This window comes from Homo sapiens, chromosome 8 (genome assembly GCF_000001405.40).
Source record: "Homo sapiens chromosome 8, GRCh38.p14 Primary Assembly".
Taxonomy (NCBI): Eukaryota; Metazoa; Chordata; class Mammalia; order Primates; family Hominidae; genus Homo; species Homo sapiens.
The window spans coordinates 9,115,170-9,134,975 of record NC_000008.11 but is presented as its reverse complement, the minus strand read 5'-3'; the positions used below and the strand labels follow the sequence as shown (position 1 = coordinate 9,134,975).

Below are 19,806 nucleotides of genomic sequence, written 5' to 3'. Positions count from 1 at the left end.
TATCACAGAGCTCTCTTTTTATGGGTAAAGAGAGGAAGGTGGCTGGGCACAGTGGCTCACATCTGCAATCCCAGCACCTTGGGAGGATAGCTTGAGGCTAGGAGTTCGAGACCAGCCTGGGCAACATAGTGAGACCCCATCTCTTAAAAAAAAAAAAATTTAATAGCTGGGTGTGGTACCGTGTCTGTATACCAGCTGTTCAGGGGGCTGAGGCAGGAAGATGACTTGAATCAGGAGTTCGAGGCTTCAGTGAGCTGTGATTGTACCACTGCTCTCTAGGCTGGGCAACAGTGTGAGACTCTGTCACCAAAAAAAAAAAAAAAAAAAAACAAAGAAAGAGCGAGAGAGTGAGAGACAAAGGCCCTGAGTGAGTTTCTTCAAGTCCCAGAGCCCATCAGTGACTGAGCCAGGAGGACGACATAAGTCTTTGTTCCAAGAACTGTCCCTGTGAACCAGAATCAATCTCATAGAACTGAGAGACCAAGATGATGATTCTCAAAAGTTGTCCCCCATGCTGGAGAGATACAGTTTCCAGGAAAGGAGTGAACATAATCATTTTTCTACAGGAAAAGCTGCATTCCTCCCAAGGGCTTCCTCAGCACGTACTAGGACCACAGACCGTGTAGAAGTATGAAAGTTAGAATGAAATGATGTGGGTCTACGAGGGCCTGATTAAACCTCAGGCTAAATTGGTGGAAGGAAACCACCAAGGAACCGTGGCTGCAGGGGCATTCCAGGAGAGAGGCCGAATTCTTGGCCGCAGCATTCCCTTCCACCAGAATAGAAACCCTGTGTGGCACGGAAAGGCTTTAAGTAAACCTCATTCCTTCTTGTCACCTCCCCTTGGAGGAGAAGAGAGAGAGGGAAACTCAACAGATGCCTTTTGCTTTCTGCATGGGATTCTCTGGTAAGTGACATGCTTGCATTGATGTTGTTCATTCCACAAACACTACTTTGCCTCTCTAGCACTGGGGGACCCGGGGCTGGGCCTTGGATTTGGCAAAGGTAGGATGAGGATACAGAATCGTCAAAATTCTCTGGGGCCAAAGGCATCAATAATGATCCAAGATCTCAGCCCTCTACCCAAAGCTACAAGATCAAGTGGCCGGGTTGGGGGTCGGCAACCTTTTCCTGTAAAGAACTAGGTAGTGAATGTTTTAGGTTTTGCGGGCCACTTGTGGTCTCTGTCACATATTTGTTTTTATTTAAATGCCCTTTAAAAATGTAAAAACCGTTCTTAGCTCGTGGGCCATACTAAAGCAGGACCAGGGCAGACTTTGTCCCTCAGGCCATGGTTCGCCAGCCCCAAGCAAGAGTCACATAGGAAGAGAATTGAGAGCCGACTTGCTGAAGTCTTGAGGCCGCAGGTTATTTTCAGTGGCTTGCTTTCTTTTCTTTTTAAGATGATCATATAATTTATGATCTAAACTGGGACGCTTTCGAGAATGAATGAGGCTCCTGTGAGTTAGCCAGGAGCACCCGGTGTACACTAGGAACACCTTGGGCAAACCTGACAGCACGATCCCTGTCCGAGCTCACCTCTCCTCTGGGATCTTCTTAGACCTCTCCAGAGCTCGGAAAGACCAGGCTGGTCTTGTGCCGGGAATCAGTTCTGGCTGGATTGTGCTCTTTTTGGATGGGTTATCATGGAGTGGTGATTTAGTCTGTGGTTTAGATTTGTTTTTATCGCTTGGTTTTCTTTCCTAATTGTAGTGCTGGTGGCCAAAAGCCCTCTGGAAATTTCAGCCAATTCACTCTTAACAGTAGCTTCTTTAGGAGGAAAGGGGTGATTCATGGTTTGGGCTTATTTCCTACCAGTGCTTTTCCTCCACCTCTCCCCCGTGCCCAACAAATCGAGGCTGGCCAGGCTCCCGAGGAAGCTGCTCATTGTGGACAGAGACATTGAGGTCGGATCTTGCAGTATTCCAAAACCCAAGTCCCCAGAAAGTAACATCAAAGCGCTCCTAGGAATTTAACTAACTCCAGGGTCTCAGCTCATCTTTCTCTAGCCCAGCAAGTTCAAGAGGCCTTAATTAAGCACCGCAGGAGACCAAGGAGGTAGAAATTCATCTCTGAAGTGCTCTCTCTGGGCCCTGGCCCTGAAGACCCCCTGCTTTCCTGGTGGCACCACGAGGGGCAGGCACACATGCTCTTCCATTTCACCTCTGTTGCCTCCTCCCGCTGGTATTTACCGTTACTCCCATGCTGAAGGTGGGTCTGTAATGCCGAGGACCCTAACATTAGTGCTGAAGGGTCCTGGAAAGGCTTCAGGAATCCCCAGACATATCAAAGTGGAACTCTTCACCACCAGAGGAGGGTTAGTTTTCCAGCATCCATCCGAATATCACACATCACCACCTGCACTGCTAGAGCTGATCAGGAAGAAAAACCGGTCACTGCTTCAGACGGGCTCCCTTCCAGAGTCACTGTGTGGATTGCCTTCTGGTCAACATCTTGGTCTCATCTGAGTGTGGAATTAGCCAGTTGAAATTTCACTGATTTTATTATCATTACACCATTTTATTATAAATTATTATATTAATTCTTCATCATTAGTCAATTATTTATTGAACCTATTACTGAAAGAATTCTCCTAATTTTTGTTTTTTGTTTTTGTTTTCACATAGAGTCTCACTCTGTCACCCAGGCTGGAGTGCAGTGGCACAATCTTGGCTCACTGAAACTGCCACCTCCCATCTCCCAAATATTTTCATAAGATCTTTTTGAACACTGCTTTGCACGTTTGCTCATGCAACTAAGTGTTTGTTCACACAAATTTTCCAGGGGCTTTTCTCATCAATTGATCAATCACCTCACCACCTTGGGCTCTCGTCGCTTCTATTGGTCACACACTATATTACACACACAGACTTTGAAAACAAACATTTTTTAAACAGTATTTTCTCCAGAAAAAAGTCCCTCTCATCCTGGTTGATTTTCCCACTTTGAAATGTCATGGCTTTGCCCCAGGCCTTCTGTAAGGCAGGACACACTCTGTCCTCCCTGGGCAAGCAACACTGAATAAGTGACATTCTGCTGTCAGTGGCAGAAGCCAGACAGACAATGACAGGGGGCACTCATTCCAGCCCTCCAGGACACCACTCACGCCTCATCTCAGCCTCTGCACTCCCTCCACCAGACAGGGAATGCAGAGGCCCAGGTCTCCAGCTGCAACCTCAGTCCTGTGCAGCTGAACTCAGACATGAGCCGCTGGTGGTTTTCTAACATTTTATGAAGACATGGAATGTGTTCTTAAATCAAATCCAATGTGAAGCCATGGACAAGTAGGTAGAAAACAGGGCCGGGCGCGGTGGCTCATGCCTGTCATCCCAGCAATTTGGGAGGCTGAGGCGGGCGGATTACGAGGTCAGGAGATCGAGACCATCCTGGCTAACATGGTGAAACCCCGTCTCTACTAAAAAATGCAAAAAAATTAGCCAGGCGTGTGGCGGGCTCCTGTAATCCCAGCTACTGAGGAGGCTGAGGCAGGAGAATGGCGTGAACCCGGGAGGCGGAGCTTGCAGTGAGCCGAGATTGCACCGCTGCACTCCAGCCTTGGGGCCACAGAGCAAGACTCCGTCTCAAAAAAAAGAAAGAAAAAGAAAAAAAAGAAAATAGGCCGCCCAAGATAGAAATCGCACCCATTTCCCCCCTCCCTGAAGCATCTCCTGAGAGCCCTAGGGCCCCAGAAATACGGGTGTAAACCCTTTCCTTCCCACACAGGAATTCCACTCTCCCGCCTCCTAGGCTAATGAATGTGGTTGAAGGATATCCTATAGAAAAAGGCAAAAGCAAGTGAACAAGCAAAACCTGCATGGGAAGGAAACACAGCTGTGGACCCCAAAATAAATGTGGACTCTGGTTATGTTTTCCTTCTGTTCTCAAGGATACGTATCATGTCCTTTCACAAAAAAAAAAATTGGCTTGTTCACACAGAACCACACTTGAGCTGCCTATTATATATATGTGATTTATATTTACATTCATACATTAAACTGCTTGACAGGGCAACGTCTATTCCACACTAATATAACACATAAGACAAAATTATTGAGTGCCTCTATGGGCAAGGGTATGACTGGGAATAAGTACTCTATGGGCATGTAGAAAGAGATAGCATGTCATTGTCACCAAGCTATTTAGAATCCTCCAATAGTTACTTTAGTCTTTGCCCAAATTATACATTTTTTACTCCATTTGCTTGCATCTAAGACCAGAGAGTCCTCATGTTTCCTTTTTACAATTTAAACTGTTGTTTTGAAATAATGGCAGATTCACATGCAGTTTTAAGAAATAATACAGACAGGTTCCATGTAACATTGACTCAGTTTTCCCCAGTGGTAACATCAGGCAAAACTAGAATACAGTATCACAACCAGGATATTGACGTTAATCCAGTCAGGATATACTTTTTACTTTGTTTTTGAGAGAGAGGGTCTCAGTGTCACCCAGGCTGGAGTGTAGTGATGCGATCATGGCTCACTGCAGCCTCAACCTCCCAGGCCCAGGCAATCCTCGCACCTCAGCCTACCAAGTAGCTGGGACCACAAGTGTGTGCCACCATGCCTGCTAATGTTTTGTATATATATATATATATTTTAATGTAAATGGGATTTTGCCACATTACCCAGGCTGGTCTCAAACTCCTGGACTCAAGTGACCCTCCTGCCCCAGCCTCCCAAAGTGCTAGGATTACAGGCATGAGCCACTGCTCCCGGCCCCAGTCAGGATATAGAACCACAAGGATCTTTCATGTCCTTTGTAACCACAGCTCCTCTCCTCTCCCTGGCTTTTCTCCTCCCCCACCCCACTCCCACCATGGTCCTTGACCCTGGCAACCACGAATCTGTTCTCCATTTCTTTCATTTTGTCAGTTCAAGAATGTTATATAAGTGGAATCCTACATGTAAACTTTGAGGATTGGCTTTCCCCACAGTTTATTTCCCTGGAGATTCATCCAAGTTGGTCCATGTATCAACAGTTTGTTCCTTTTCATTGCTGAGGACTATTCCACAGTACAGATTAATAATATACTGATGAGCGTTTGAGTTGTGTCTAGTTTGGGTTTATTATGAATAAAGCTATTATGGACATTCATGTACAGCTTTTTGTGCAAATACACATTTTTCATTTCTCTGGGATGGATGCTCAAGAGTGAAATTTCTGGGTTTATGGCAGTCTCATGTTTAGTTTTATAAGAAACTGCCAAACTATTTTCTGGAGTGGCTATACTATTTTACAATGCCACCAGTAACGTATCCGGTTTCTCTGCATCCTCGTCAGCTTTTTGTGTTGTCACTGTTTTTATTTATTTATTTAGAGGCAGAGTCTCACTATGTTGCCCAGGCTGAACTTGAACTCCTGGGCTCACACAGTCTTATAGGTATGCACCACACCTGACCACTGTTGTGACTACTTTTTATTTTAGCAATTCTGAACGGCATGTAGTAACATCTCATCGTGGTTTTAATTTACATTACCTCAGTGGTTAATTATGCCAAAGCTTTTTGTGTGCTTCTTTGCCGAATGTATATCTTATTTAGTGAAATGTATGTATGTCTTTGGCCCATTTTCTAAGTAGACTGGGGTTTTTTTCTTTCACTATTGAGTTTTGAGAGATCTTTGTATATTCCAGGTGCTAGTCTTTTGTCATATGTGTTATTTGAAAATATTTCTCTCAGTCTGTAGCCTGCCTTTTCATTCTCCTCACATGGACTTTCTCATAGTAAAGTTTACTTTTTATCTATTTTTTCCTTTGTGGGATCACGCTTCTGATGTCAAGTATAAGAACTCTTTGCCTAGGCCTACATCTCAAAGATTTTTTCCTTTGCTGTCCTCCAAAAGTTTTATAGTTTTACATTTTAAATTTACAAATATGATGCATTCTGAGTTAAATTTGATAAGGTGAGAGGTTTGGGTTGAGGTTTATTTTTTTGCCTATACATGTCCACTTACTTCAGTACCATTTGTTGAAAAGGCTTTCTTTTGCGTCTTTGTCAGAAAGCAGCTGGAGATATTTACATAGGTTTATTTATGGGTTCTTTCATATTTATATAGGTTAATTTATGGGTTCTCTATTCTGTTTCAATTATGTATATACCTATCCCTGAACAATACCATAATATCTTGAGTACTGTGGCTATATAGTAAAACCTAATATGAGATAGAGTAATTCCTCACACTTTATTCTTTTTTTTTTTTTTTTTTTTGAGATGGAGTCTTGCCTTGTCACCCAGGCTGGAGTGCAATGGCGCGATCTCAGCTCACTGCAAGCTCCGCCTCCAGGGTTCACGCTATTCTCCTGCCTCAGCCTCCCGAGTAGCTGGGACTACAGGCGCCCGCCACCATGCCCGGCTAATTTTTTGTACTTTTAGTAGACACGGGGTTTCACCGTGTTAGCCAGGATGGTCTCGATCTCCTGACCTCGTGATCCGCCCTCCTCGGCCTCCCAAAGTGCTGGGAGCCCCAAGATTTTTTTTAAATTCTAGAATTTGTGTCTTTTCATATAAACTCTAGAGTAACCTTGTCTCTGTCTACAAAAACTGTTGCTGGGGTTTTGATCAAAATTGCATTACATCTGGCCGGGCGCGGTGGCTCACGCCTGTAATCCCAGCACTTTGAGAGGCTGAGGCGGGCGGATCACGAGGCTGAGGCAGGAGAATGGCGTGAACCCGGGGGGCGGAGCCTGCAGTGAGCCGAGATGGCGCCACTGCACTCGAGCCTGGGCGACAGCGAGACTCCGTCTCAAAAAAAAAAAAAAAAAATTGGATTACATCTGTCGATCAATTTGGGAAGAATTGACCTTTTTCTACATTTAGTCTTTTAATCCATAAACATAGTATGTCTCTCCATTTATCTAGATATTCTTTAATTTCTTTAATAAGCATTTTGTTATTTTCAGTACAGAAATCCTTCACATAAGTATTTCATTTTATTTGGAGTGACTTATGTTGTGTTCTAATTTTGGTTTCTGGATGTTCATTTTTATAAATAGAAATGCAATTAATTTTTATGTGTCAATCTTATATCCTGCAAGGTTGCTGGATTCACTTATTAATTCTAGGAGTTTTCACAGATTACTTGAGATTGTCTATGTAGATAATCATGTCGTCTGAAAACAGGGGCAGTTTAATTTCTTCCTTTCCAATCTTTACAGTATTCATTTATTTATCTTGCACTCTTGCAATAGCTAGAGTTTCTAGCACCATGTTGAATAAGGGTGGTGAGAGTAGACATCCTTGCCTTGTTTCTAACCTTAGACAGGAAGCAGTCTTTCACCATTAAGCATGATGTTACCTGTAGGCTTTTAATAGCTACTCTTTATCAAGCTACAGAAGATTTCCTTTATTCCTAGTTTGCTGAGAGTTTTTATCATGAGTACGTGTTGGCTTTTGTCGAATGCTTTTTCTGTGTCAATTGATATAACTGTGTGATTTTTTCTTTCTTTGCAGCGGATTATATGGATTGATTTTTTAAATATTGACCTAAATTTGCATACTTGAAATAAATTTTGTCATGGTGTTTAAGTCTTTTAATATACTTCTAGATTTGATTTGCTAATATTTTGTTGGGGATTTTTGTATCTAAGTTTGTAAGCCATATTAGTCTTTTTTTTTTTTTTTTTTTTTGTATCAGTGTAATACTAGCCTCATAAGATGAAGTGATAAGCATTCCCTCCCCTTTTGTTTTCAGGAAGAAATTGTGTAAAATTGTTAAATTTTCGCCGGGCGCGGTGGCTCATGCCTGTAATCCCAGCACTTTGGGAGGCCGAGGCAGGCGGATCACGAGGTCAGGAGATTGAGACCATCCTGGCTAACACGGTTAAACCCCGTCTCTACTAAAAATACAAAAAAATTAGCTGGGCGTAGTGGTGGGTGCCTGTAGTCCCAGCTACTCGGGAGGCTGAGGCAGGAGAATGGCGTGAACCCGGGAGGCGGAGCTTGCAGTGAGCCGAGATGGTGTCACTGCACTACAGTCTGGGCGACAGAGCAAGACTCCGCCTCAAAAAAAAAAAGAAAAAAATTTTATTTAAATGCTCAATGGAATTCACCATGGAAACCTTCTGGGCCTAGAAATTTCCTTTTTGGGAGCTTTTAAATTATAGTTGAATATCTTTATTAGTTACAGGACGTAATAAGTAGTATTTTCATTAAATATTTTTGCACACTTTCTCATACATTTGAACACTCAATAAATATTTAATCAACTGTTTTTCTCAGTGGATTTTGCAAAGACCCTTTCTAAATTAAAAGGGACATCACAATAACCAATCATATAAACTAATTCTTAGTAAAATAAAATGCTCTCGTCTCCTGTGCAAAGTTCTTGTTCTGTTTTTTGTAGTTTCTAACAGCTTTGATATTTTAGGCAAGTCAGAACTTGCCTAAACAAACGCTTCATTAACAAACCTTTTTTATGTGTGATTACTCTGGTATTTTCTACTCTATTCTATATTATTTTTAAAAAATACTGGTTGCAACTCATTAAATTGATTTCAGGACCCACTAATGGGCTACAACCTGCAATTTGAAAAACAGTGATTTAAATATTCTCTCATGTCCCTTCTACTTCAGATATTTGCTACTAAATGTGTCTACTGCTTTATTCTCTTGACTACAACACAAAGCATATTAGACACCTACAGCACTGTTATTTTACAATTTATTTTCAAATCACTTCCAAAGTCGATTTAAGATAGTTTACAATAAATGCAGAGTTATGTTTTTAAGGGAAAAGGGAAAAATGAGAAATGATGGAGAAAGTACTTTTCCACTTTTCAGGAATTAAAATAGTCATGGAAAGAAAAATAAAGTATCAGGAAATACAGGTATCAAGTCATTTAGTCTAAATTACTTCTCACTGTACTTTGTTAAAAGGAGATCAGAATTTCAAAGACCAGAAGAGGTTGCTGAGAGTGGAATTGTCCAGCCATTGCAGCCCTCCTTCCACGGGAGAAAAGAAAGAGGTCTTGGACAAATGTGGGATTCCTGTGGTCTGGAAGTAAATCTGAGGTAAATAGACCATCTCTCCACCACCAGAGCCTGAGCCTGGCTTATCCTCTTAGCTAGGAAAGCAGCAGCTATAAGTGCTGTTCGCTATTCTTCCTGTAATTACAAGAAAAAGAAAAAGACAAAAGACAAAACTCATTGAGAAAGAGAGGTTTGAACTGTGGCCAGAGAATGGTCTTTCCAGTGTTATCATAGGACACACTTTTCACTCTGTTTTCCCTGTCACTTTGCCATCCTTGTGACATTTCCTTATCACTTTGCCTATTGTTCAGGATGTGGCCATGCTTCATAGTTTTCATGAGGTCCAAGACAAAAAACTGTAGAACCACAGATGTGAAGAGATCGTGAGGTCCAACCTCCCGATTTTATAGATCCAGACAATGAGGCCCAGAGAGGTTAGAAGACTTGCTGAACATTGAACAGAGAGTTCATGGCAGAAGCCAGCCTACACCTATGACCCTTGCTGTCCTCCCAAGCCTGGATGTCCTGCTCTTCAGCTCTGAGCTTAAAGTAGCACGATTCAGCAGTAGGGTCATTTGCCCACATACACGGAAGTCATTCTTGCATCCACTTCTGTCAGCCTATAAATCAGAGGCAGGGAGGGAGAGAGAGTAGGTGAAAGAAAAAAGGGCTTTGCTGCTTCTGCCTTGCTTAACCAGTTCAGAAATTTACGGATTTCAGCCCTATCTAAAATATGAATTAGTGAGGTGTTGGAACACTGTAGAAAAATAGATGTGAGCCCTTACCCAGTGTTATGGTTAATGGTCCAGCTGGGAAAAATCAAACCTTGTCACCGGCTAGTAGTCACCTACTAATTGCAAGACACTGTGGGTAATTACATAAGCCTGCCATACTGCCTCTTGCCCTCAAGGAGCTTACAATCAATTTGGAAGTGCAAGCAAGTACTCCTTGACCAAGTGACTGGATGTGTGAGCTCATAAAAGGTAACCAGTCATCCTTGATCATAGAAACACGTTTATTTTCCAGTTGCTAATTTCAACAGCGGGCAAAACACAGGATCACTTAATGTCTTGAGTTTTATTCCAATGTCATGCTGCCCATTAGGACCAAGATCAGGCCTATGGGATTCACAAAGCTGCCACAGTTTCACTCATAACTGCACACAGTGGGTGGGTATCTAGAATATGTGGAAGCAGTTACTACAATCACTTCTATTTCTGGTAGTTATGGTTATTTTGCTCCCATCTGGTGGAGGCTGGAGACCATGTTCCCTCACAAACATGACAGCAGTAATGGCATTAAAGCATTACAAACTGTACCCCTGTGGGTGAGCACCTGTTTGTATCTCTTAGAGGGGGCTCCAGTGGCATTTGAGTGGGACAAGACGTTGTCATGCAGGACTGCCTTGTGCACTACAGAGCATTTATATCCCTGGCTCTTGCTCACCAAATGTCAGTGGGCCCCAGGCATTGTGACAATGCATAACACCCCCACGTTTCCAAATGCCCCTTGCCAGAAAAACCAATGTTCTATTTTTTCATCTTCTTTCATCAGGCATGATGCATGTCTAGACGAGTTGACAAGCATTCTGCTGATTTAGCGACATTAAACCCAGCACTGATAGCCTTATTCCCGCTGCAAAAACCAAGGCTGACGTGCACTGCAGGATGCACAAGCACCATCCCTCCCACCCTTCTGGCCATGATTACCATCCTGAAGTAGACTTAGAGATATGGAAGACCCTTTCATTTCAATGTTGATATCGTCCCGACAGACAGGCTGTCTTATCTGTCTCCTAAGGTGAAACAAAGGAGTAATCTTGGCAGGTAATCTCAGTGTAGCCTTTGCTTACTTCTTCTTCTAATTAAGAAACAAAAATCTGGCTTCCTTCCTCTCTTTCCTAATTCAGCCCAAGAGTCACTGAGCAGGCACAAGAAAGGGAGGTGACAGTGGCCTGGCAAGAGTGGTATTGGAGCAAGGTGGCAGAAGCAGCTGGTGGCACCTGGCAATGGCAACAATTATGAGGACAGATTCAGAGCAGGGTGAGAGGCCCCTCATGTAGTCGAGAGAATGGCTACCTACAGGGGCCAGTAAACAAACATACTAAGGATGATGCAACCCCAAGACGTCAAGACAGAAGTATAGATGTAAAGGTGTATGTGTATATACACACCTTTGTGTGTTTGCATATATGGACGGATAAAAATACATCTATTTCCTAATTCTGTCCACTGAGAGGGCCCAGGGAAGCAACAACTCTAGTAGCAAAGGGCCTACTTTGCATCTAGATCTTGGCTTCTAAATATCACTCTCCATGAAAAGGAACTAAGGCTCCTCAAAGAACTGGCTGATCCAGACCTGGAACAGAAAAAGCACCAGATATCCTTGAAGGGCTTTTTGTGAGGAAGTTCTCAAAGAATGAGAGGCACATGGCAAAAGGTGCAGAATCCAGCTTCATAGGAAACCAACTGTCAAAATCTGGGTCTACATGAACATCAAAGTAATTAATGAGAGTAAGGTTTGTAACCCATTGAATAATAGAAGAATAGAATGGATGATAACACATTTGTTTGTAAAAACGGGAGGTACAAAAGTTCTTCCTTACAATAGTATGCCGATTTATTAATGTAAGGGGAATAATACAATTAGAAAATTACCATTTGGCAAACATCACAGTAATAATTAATTCCAGCAAGAAACATCAATGAGTTCTAAAACAAGGAGGTAAAAATGGAATGAATAATGGAATATTTACATAATACTTATTAACTACAAAAGAAAAAAGATGGGGCAGACACCATCTTAATCAAGCAATCAAAGTTACCATCACCAATGGGGCAAAATAGCATCATGGGCTATTTGATAGTGGGCAGTGAGACCACTGCATCACTTCTGTGACATTCTTGTCCAAAAGGCGTGACCTGGTCTAACCATGAAAAAGCAGAGGACAACCCAACTTGAGAATCATTCTACAAAATGTAACCTTCATAAAGGTCAAGAGCATGGAACTCAGAGAAGGATCCAGATAGAAAGAGGCTAGATCATAGGATCATAATTTGGACCCATTGGTAGCAAGCACATCATGAGTAAAACTTGAAAGGAGTCTGAATGAAAGGCATACGGGGGCCGGGTATGGTGGCTCATGCCTGTAATCCCAGCACTTTGGGAGGCTGAGATGGGAGGAATGCTTGAGACCAGGAGTTCGAGGCCAGCCTGGTAAACATAGCAAGACCCCATCTCTATAAAAGAAAAAAAAATTATAAATTAAAAAAAAAAAGAAAAGAAAGAAAGGCATGCAGGAGTCTTTTGTAGTAGTCTTGCAACTTCTCTATACATTCGAAATTGTTTCAAAATAATCTTTTTAAAATTGAGACAGATTAATAATTATAGATTGCATCTTATAGATTATAAAGATGATGTAAATATATGTCAAGTATATGTCAGAGTGCCTCAAAGTGCAGTCTGTAGACAGACGTTGGTCTGCAGACGGTTACCTTGCCACATCAAGAGGTGAAGTTTGCACCATAATGTGTGTCAACCGCCTCACCAAGCACACTGTAGTTTAGCGGACAGGTTTTTAGTGCCTGACTTTCTCCATGAAGAAAGCAGTATGTTGATTTACAGTTTGCACCACGCTCCTCAAGCATCAGAGACCCACACTTTGAGTAGCGCTGGTGTAAATGACAATTAATCATGAGTTGAACTTCATAAACGGGCATGTTAAATTGGAGTGTTCTCTACGGTGAGAGTCACAGTTAAAAAATAGTCATAATCATATGAGCCCCAGGATCCCAGTTCAGAACATACTCATGGAGGCATTTTGGATGAAAAAGATAGACTTGGCATGCACATGACCTAGAATGGACCATAAATCAGTCCAATAACCTCATGGACCTTTTTGTTCAAGATTATTTCTATCTATCGGCATCTCTACAGTCCTCAAAGGAGGAGAATGCCTCCCACACGCCCTTAGTTCATCGTTGACTCTTCAGGAAATGAACACCAGTGAGACTCTTGCAATAGAGAAGAAAAAGTAATAATTTAAGACTCATTCATGTTTAAGTGAGTTAGTACAGAGGAAAAGCTGTTTCATACAACTTTAGGAAAAACATCTCTTCATCCTAAAAGAGATATTTCTTCAAGTGCTGGTGTCTAGCAAACTGGAAAACAAATGTCTGCACATGATTTTTTTTTTTTTTTTTTTCACAGGTGGGGTCTTGCTATGTCACCCAGGCTGGAGTGCAGTGACTATTCACAGGCATGATCATCGCACACTACAGTGTTAAACTCTGGGCTTAAGCCATCCTCCTGCCTCAGTCTCTCAAGTAGCTGGGACCACAGGCACATGCCACCATGCCTGGCTTGTACTTGATTTTTAAAGTTCTTGGCAATGTGTTTCTTAACAATTATCTTTGAAAAATTGTCTTTTGTTGGCATGTTCTTCTCATGCAATTGGAGACAGTTCTTCCTGCTAGTTTCACATTTTACCTTTTTGGTGGGTTCTACTTGCCCATTCCACACTGATAGGAGCATTTTTTCCCCCCTTTCTTTCCTTTTATTATTTTTATTTTTTAACTTCCTGTGTTAGGCACCAAACCATACTGCTCTGCCCCTGTTACCAAGAACTTATGTTGCCAGTATAAATAAGATCACCTGCTTTGTGCATTGCCGTTCAGAGTGGCAGGGAGTTCAAGATCCAGTGGTTTCGGGGTAGCACTCCAGGCTGGTATACATGGCCTTTTGGACCATTCAAGTCTACCAGCAGTAAGGAAGATTAAAGAAATTGGCAGGATCTTCAGTGTCAGCCAATATTATCAGCAACTGCTGCACATTCCGGAAGAACATCAACACCCCTACTTTGACCCACACGAATCAATCGTCCTTGCTGCACCAGTTCTTCTGTAGCACCTGGAAGTGCTGCCAAACAAGGGGCTGACTGGCCAGGGTTGGCTCTTCCAGCCAGCATTGTTTGTCCTGGGTCTCCAGAAACTGTCTCATCAGCACTGAATCTGCAAATATGAGTAACATACACCTGGACAGAGCCCTGGAGGGGGCAGAGAGGTGTTCAGGGATCAGCAGACGCGCTGAAAAACGGATCGTCTTGCTGCAGGTGTGGTGGCTGCCAAGGCAGGCAGAGCCCTTTGGATAGAGCCACATCTGAGGTATCTTTTCATTTCCAAGCTTTAAAAAAGCACGATGTTTCTTGATGTAGGTTCTCCATCGTCTGGCCTCTGCCTATTCCCATAGCACATCCCCTGCTGGCCACTGCCACACACTGTAGACGTCCACCAATGCCAAGTTGCTTGGTGGGCCCCACACACCCCATGCTATTTCCCACCTCCAGGCTCTGCTCATAAAATTCCTTCTGCCCTGTTGACTAGAGGAGTGCCCAGCATGGAGTAGCCACCCAGGCATGATTATGGAACTGAGCTCATGAGACTTCAGGTCCCTTCTCTTCATGTGGAGTCTCGCTGTGTCTCCCAGGCTGGAGTGCAGTGGCGTGATCTCGGCTCACTTGTCTCCCAAGTTCAAGCAATTCTCCTGCCTCAGCCTCCCGAGTAGCTGGGATTACCGGCATGTGCCACCACGCCCAGCTAACTTTTTATATTTTTTAGTAGAGATGGGGTTCACCATGTTGGTCAGGCTGGTCTCGAACTCCTGGCCTCAAATGATCTGCCCGCCTCGGCCTCCCAAACTGCTGGGATTACAGGCGTGAGCCACCACACCTGGCCTGCGCACTCTTTAAGGCTTCTCCTTGGTCCATTCCCCATAGACATGAGATCTGACCTGTCTCAGCATAGGCTAAGCCTATCCCAGAGGCATAGATGCTGATCAGAATTGTAAGCTGGAGAAGATAACACTTTCCATTAGATTAACCAACAACATGAATACAGCTTCTAGAAATATCTCAGGTAATGAATGAGACTGCCTCATCCAAATTACAAACATATCCAGGTTGTGATAATATCTGTTTCTGTTAACATAATGGTCCTTAGTTGCTATGGTAATCTTCTCCGTTGACCTGACTCTAGTGGATGAGGTTATCAGGGCCCTATCACTTCCCAGCATCAAAGCAATCTTCTAATCTGCCACACAAACTAGGGCATTTTTGAAGGTCAGAAGGATTGCTATTTATAATACACCAATGCAACAGGTATAAATAAGACAGTTCCTGGCAAATTGAGATACATGGTGACATTTCCTATCAGACTTTAAAGTATCTCACATAAATAGATCCTCAACAAGTGTTTCCTGGATGAATATATTTGTTTTTTCCTCCGTTGTAATTTAAGTTTCTTAAGAACAGAGGTGGCTGGGTGCGGTGGCTCACGCCTGTAATCCCAGCACTTTGAGAGGCCAAAGCTGGTCGATTACCTGAGGTCAGGAGATCAAGACCATCCTGGCTAACACGGTGAAACCCCGTCTCTACTAAAAATACAAAAAATTAGCTGCACGTGGTGGCGGGCGCCTGTAATCCCAGCTACTCAGGAGGCTGAGGCAGGAGAAGCGAAGCCCTTGAACCCGGGAGACAGAGGTTGCAGTGAGCTGAGATTGAGCCATTGCACTCTAGCCTGGGCAACAAGAGCGAAACTCTGTCTCAAAAAAAAAAAAAAAAAGAACAGAGGCAATGTCTAATGTTTCTTCTAGATTACTCATAATGATGGATATACCATAGCCACTCAAAAATATCTGTTAACTGTCTTATGATGAGATGTTCTTTCCAAGTGAAAATTCCCTATGGGCAACTGGAAGTACAAGAATAGAACTTTGCTGAGAAGTTAAAGCTAGAATATTTGGGTAGGTCTTTAGAGAATATAGGGTTAGCTTGGAATAGAAACCCTCCCAAGATACTATAGACACCTAAGAAAAATCAGTGAAGAGATCTGAAATATATCCATAGGAGGATGAAAGCCTCCTGTTGTTTGCTGAGCTAGAGCAAGATAGAAGTCATGAGCTTTTACTAATCATTGTATTTTATAGTGTGAAGGGGGAAGAGAACTGGAGATTTTTTTTTTAGCCAAAAAAAATAGTAATAAAATGGCTAATTTTAGGTAACATCAGCCTTTGGCAATAATACTTGAATGCAATAGAATAAAAAGACAGCTGGGTGCAGTGGCACATGCCTGTAATCCCAGCACTTTAGGAGGCCAAGGCAGGCAGATTGTTTGAGCCCAGGAGTTCGAGACCAGCCTGGTCAACATGGTGAAACTCTGTCTCCACAAAAAAATTTAAAAATTACCCGGGCATGTTGGTGCATGCCTGTGGTCCCTCCCAACTACTCGGGAGGCTGAGGTGGGACGATCGCTTGAGCCTGGGAGGTCAAGGCTGCAGTGAGCCGAGATCACATCACTGCACTCCAGCCTGGGTGACAGAGCGAGACCCTGTCTCAAAAATTTAAAAAAAAAAAAAAAAAAAAAAAAAAACAACAAAAAAGAATAAAAAGACTCTTACATAGCTGACTAGCTGACACAAGAAAGAACTGTGGAACACCAGTGACTCCTACTGCCTCATTTTACAGATGAAAGAATTAAGGCCCAGGGAATTTAATTGACATCCAGTTACCTGTTCCCCTTCTGGAAAATTCTTGCTGTGAAAATTTGACATTTGATTAGCCATTGGTGAGACTTCAGCAGTCCTGGGGAAACTTCAGTCTTCATTCCAAGGTATGGCTACAGTTTTGCCCCTTTAGATTAGAAACTAGAAACTTTTGAAGTTTTGCCAAGCTAAGGGCCTTCTTCTCCTTGTTTGGTAACTCTAACTCCCATGAGGTCTAGGTTAGCAAATGTGGATCTGTTCTCGCAAGCAGCAGGAGAAGTGGAAAGAGGGAGATGGTAAATGGAAGTCATAAGCAAAAGTGGTGCCACCTGGCCTTCCCATGTGTGAAAATCCAGCCCTCGTCATCACTGGCCCACAGTGTGTAAGATGCTGACATGTGATTTAGACACCCCCAGAACCAACTGGAGAGGTCGGTCTCACAGTAAATTGAGGCCATAAATTTATGACAAACAAGAAAGCTCCATTTTAAGTCCTGTTATAGTTTCAGCAGTGGCCAGAAATGTCACTTTTGCAAGGTCACTTTATTTTTGCAAGGCTCTCCTGGTATTTCAAGAATTCTCATTGTCACAAAATTATGGGAAGTAACACCTTGGACATTTGCACTTGGACCACTGCAAGGTTAAATTCACTCCCCAAAGTTATGCAGTGAGCCCAAAGGAAGGCATATTTTATGCCCATAACCTCATTCTAAAGCCATTTCTGAGAAGATCAGGAAGGTGAATTCTTCCATTGGCTGTGTCCCAAGCTGTCATTCTCAAAAAGACTGCCGTAGCACACTGAGTCGGCCCCATGCCTCTTCCTGCATTACTTCTTTTTTTTCCCAAGCAGGATGATTTTTCCAGCACAATTATTTAAACAAAAATAATACAGGCTGGGTGCAGTGGCTCACGCCTGTAATCCCAGCACTTTGGGAGGCCAAGGTGGGTGGATCATGAGGTCAGGAGTACGAGACCAGCCTGGCCAAGATGATGAAACCCTGTCTTTACTAAAAATACAAAAATTAGCCAGTTGTGGTAGCGGGCGCCTGTAATCCTAGCTACTTGGGAGGCTGAGGCAGGAGAATCGCTCAAACCCAGGAGGCAGAGGTTGCAGTGAGGCGAGATCGCACCACTGCACTCTAGCCTGGGTGACACAGCGAGACTCCATCTCAATAATAATAATAATAAGACTAGATGGAGATGAGGGAGGGGAGATGTGAACCCTTAGAGATTCCAGAAACTGACAAGTTTCTTGTGCCAAGAAGGCACTAGCAAGAGCCTTAGTTTAATTTACTTAATGAAAACTTATGGATTGATGAATTCTTGGGAGAAGAGGCCCTGTGTCCAATCTACCGTGCTGTTAATATAGGGCTAGGCGTGGTACTGAAGTGGCATCATGGAAACTGAGTTCCGCAAGGAAGTCATAAATGGAAACAACCTTTTCTGCCCACCTTGGACAGATTAGGCAGGGAGACAATTTTGGTAGGTGGGAAACATAAGCTGCCCAACTCCAGAGCACAGCCTCCCAAGATGGATGACTATCATACCCTTGAGTTTTCTCCCTTTGTAGGAATTAGTGCCTTATGATTGAAAAAAAAAAAAAAAGTGACCAGGCCAGGATCAAGGCACTCCTAAGGAATGGCGGGCCAGCAGCACGGACTAAAACTTGATAGATCTGGGGGAAGCGGGGTTAGACAGAGTCAGAGATCTCGAGAACACCACATTAAGAACCAGAGATCCTGGCTTTATTATATGAATTTCATTACTGGAAAATATCTGGGAATTAAAGATATCAGTGATACCATGGATACTCTAAGATTCATGGTCCATAAGCAAAATTTTGCTGAGAGATTTATTTCTGGTTCCTGGCCACCAGAAACCAACCATAGAATTAGGCTAAGTAATTTCAGGAAGAGATCTCAGTTCACTCTGACTTACTGAGGAGCAAGTAGAGGTAAAGACAGGAACAGTGAATTGCCCAAGATCACACAGGGGTTAACAACAACAGGGACCCACAGTCCAATCTCATGACTCTCAGACAAAAGCGTATCTTCCACATCCACAGGACTCCCTCCCTCTGGAGCCCCCTGGACTGCAGGCGTCTCTTGGATGCGGATGTTCCCTCTACACAAGGTGATCAGAAGGGTAAATATTCAGGGTGTGTATTTACATGACCATGAACCATGCTACTTTTTGTCTGTGAGGAAGGATGGATAAAACCTGTATCTACCACATTCTGATAAGAAAAGGGGCCTTCAAGTCAGGCAGATCTAGATTTTAGTCTTGCTTCCAAACACACTCAGCTGTGTGACAGAGAGACAACTTACTTGATCCCTTTAGGTTTCAACTCACTGATTTGCAAAATGAGAACAATACTTGCCCCTAATGTAAAGGTTTGGGGGAAGGCCAAATGAGATAATGTTTATGGAACATTTAGCACAGGGCCTTGCAAAGAATACATAAGCAATTATTATTACAGTTGACCCTTGAATAATGTGAAAGTTACGGAGGCTGACCCCCGCCATGCAGTCAAAAATCTGCATATAACTTTTGACTTCTCAAAAACTTAACTACTAATAGTTGACTTTTGACTGGAAACCTTGCCAATACTATAAACAGTCAATTAGCATATATTTTGCATATGTATTATATTCTATATTCTTATAATAAAGTAAGCTAAAGAAAATGTTATTAAGAAAATCATAAGGAGAAGAAAATACATTTACAGCACTGTACTGTATGTATTGATACCGTAAGTTTCCATTGCCTGTTCACAAGATGAATAATCTGTCTGAAATGGTGGCAACCACAGCTGCAGAGCTCAATCTATGGTACAGATCAAGCAAGTCAACTTTTTCTTGTAATGTCATGACTTTTCTCTGTTTCTTGGGAGCAATTTCAGTGTCACTAGGGGCACTCTATATGGATCTCATGATATTATTCAAGGTTTATGGTATTACACTAAAAAGAATGAAAAAGTTTGAAACATTGCAAGCATTACCAAAATGTGACACAGAGACACAAAGTGAGCACATGCATTTGGAGAAATGGTGATGATAGTCTTGTTTGATGCAGGGTTGCCACAAACTTTCATTTTGTAAAAAATTCAGTATCCGCAAAGCACAATAAAACAAGGTATGCTTATACTGGGAAGCTCTGTTATTTGGTCCATACACATACACAATTGTTATGTCTTCCTGATAAGTTGATACTTTTATCATTATGAAATGTCCCTCCTTATCTCTGGTAATAATTTTAGTTTCAAAGTCAACTTCATCTGATATTATTGCCACCCAGTCTTC

At 42.7% G+C, this 19,806-nt stretch overlaps 1 long non-coding RNA gene across 4 annotated transcripts, besides 2 other annotated features; it reads left to right on the top strand.

The window, feature by feature from the left end:
- On the top strand, positions 157–19,303 carry LOC112268402 (uncharacterized). 4 transcript variants are annotated; one of them, XR_007060805.1, is made up of 4 exons: positions 8,200–9,011; positions 13,179–14,131; positions 16,489–16,633; positions 18,570–19,303. It is a non-coding gene; the product is annotated as an uncharacterized LOC112268402 (long non-coding RNA). The 4 variants fall into 4 exon arrangements; XR_007060803.1 differs by lacking the exons at positions 13,179–14,131; positions 16,489–16,633 and adding an exon at positions 157–907 and having other exon boundaries at positions 8,877–9,011; XR_007060804.1 differs by lacking the exons at positions 13,179–14,131; positions 18,570–19,303 and adding an exon at positions 157–907 and having other exon boundaries at positions 8,877–9,011; positions 16,489–17,420.
- Positions 903–1,197: a silencer, noted in NCBI's record as "tiled region #9732; HepG2 Repressive non-DNase unmatched - State 21:Repr". NCBI's record gives its function as "represses a minimal TATA promoter and a strong SV40 promoter by Sharpr-MPRA in HepG2 cells {active_cell/tissue: HepG2}" and the evidence as "EXISTENCE:reporter gene assay evidence [ECO:0000049][PMID:27701403]".
- Positions 2,827–3,327: an enhancer, noted in NCBI's record as "H3K4me1 hESC enhancer chr8:8989159-8989659 (GRCh37/hg19 assembly coordinates)". NCBI's record gives its function as "activates a minimal SCP1, AML or CMV promoter by ChIP-STARR-seq in naive H9 embryonic stem cells {active_cell/tissue: H9 hESC(naive)}" and the evidence as "EXISTENCE:reporter gene assay evidence [ECO:0000049][PMID:30033119]".
- Positions 19,304–19,806: the final 503 nt, after the last annotated feature.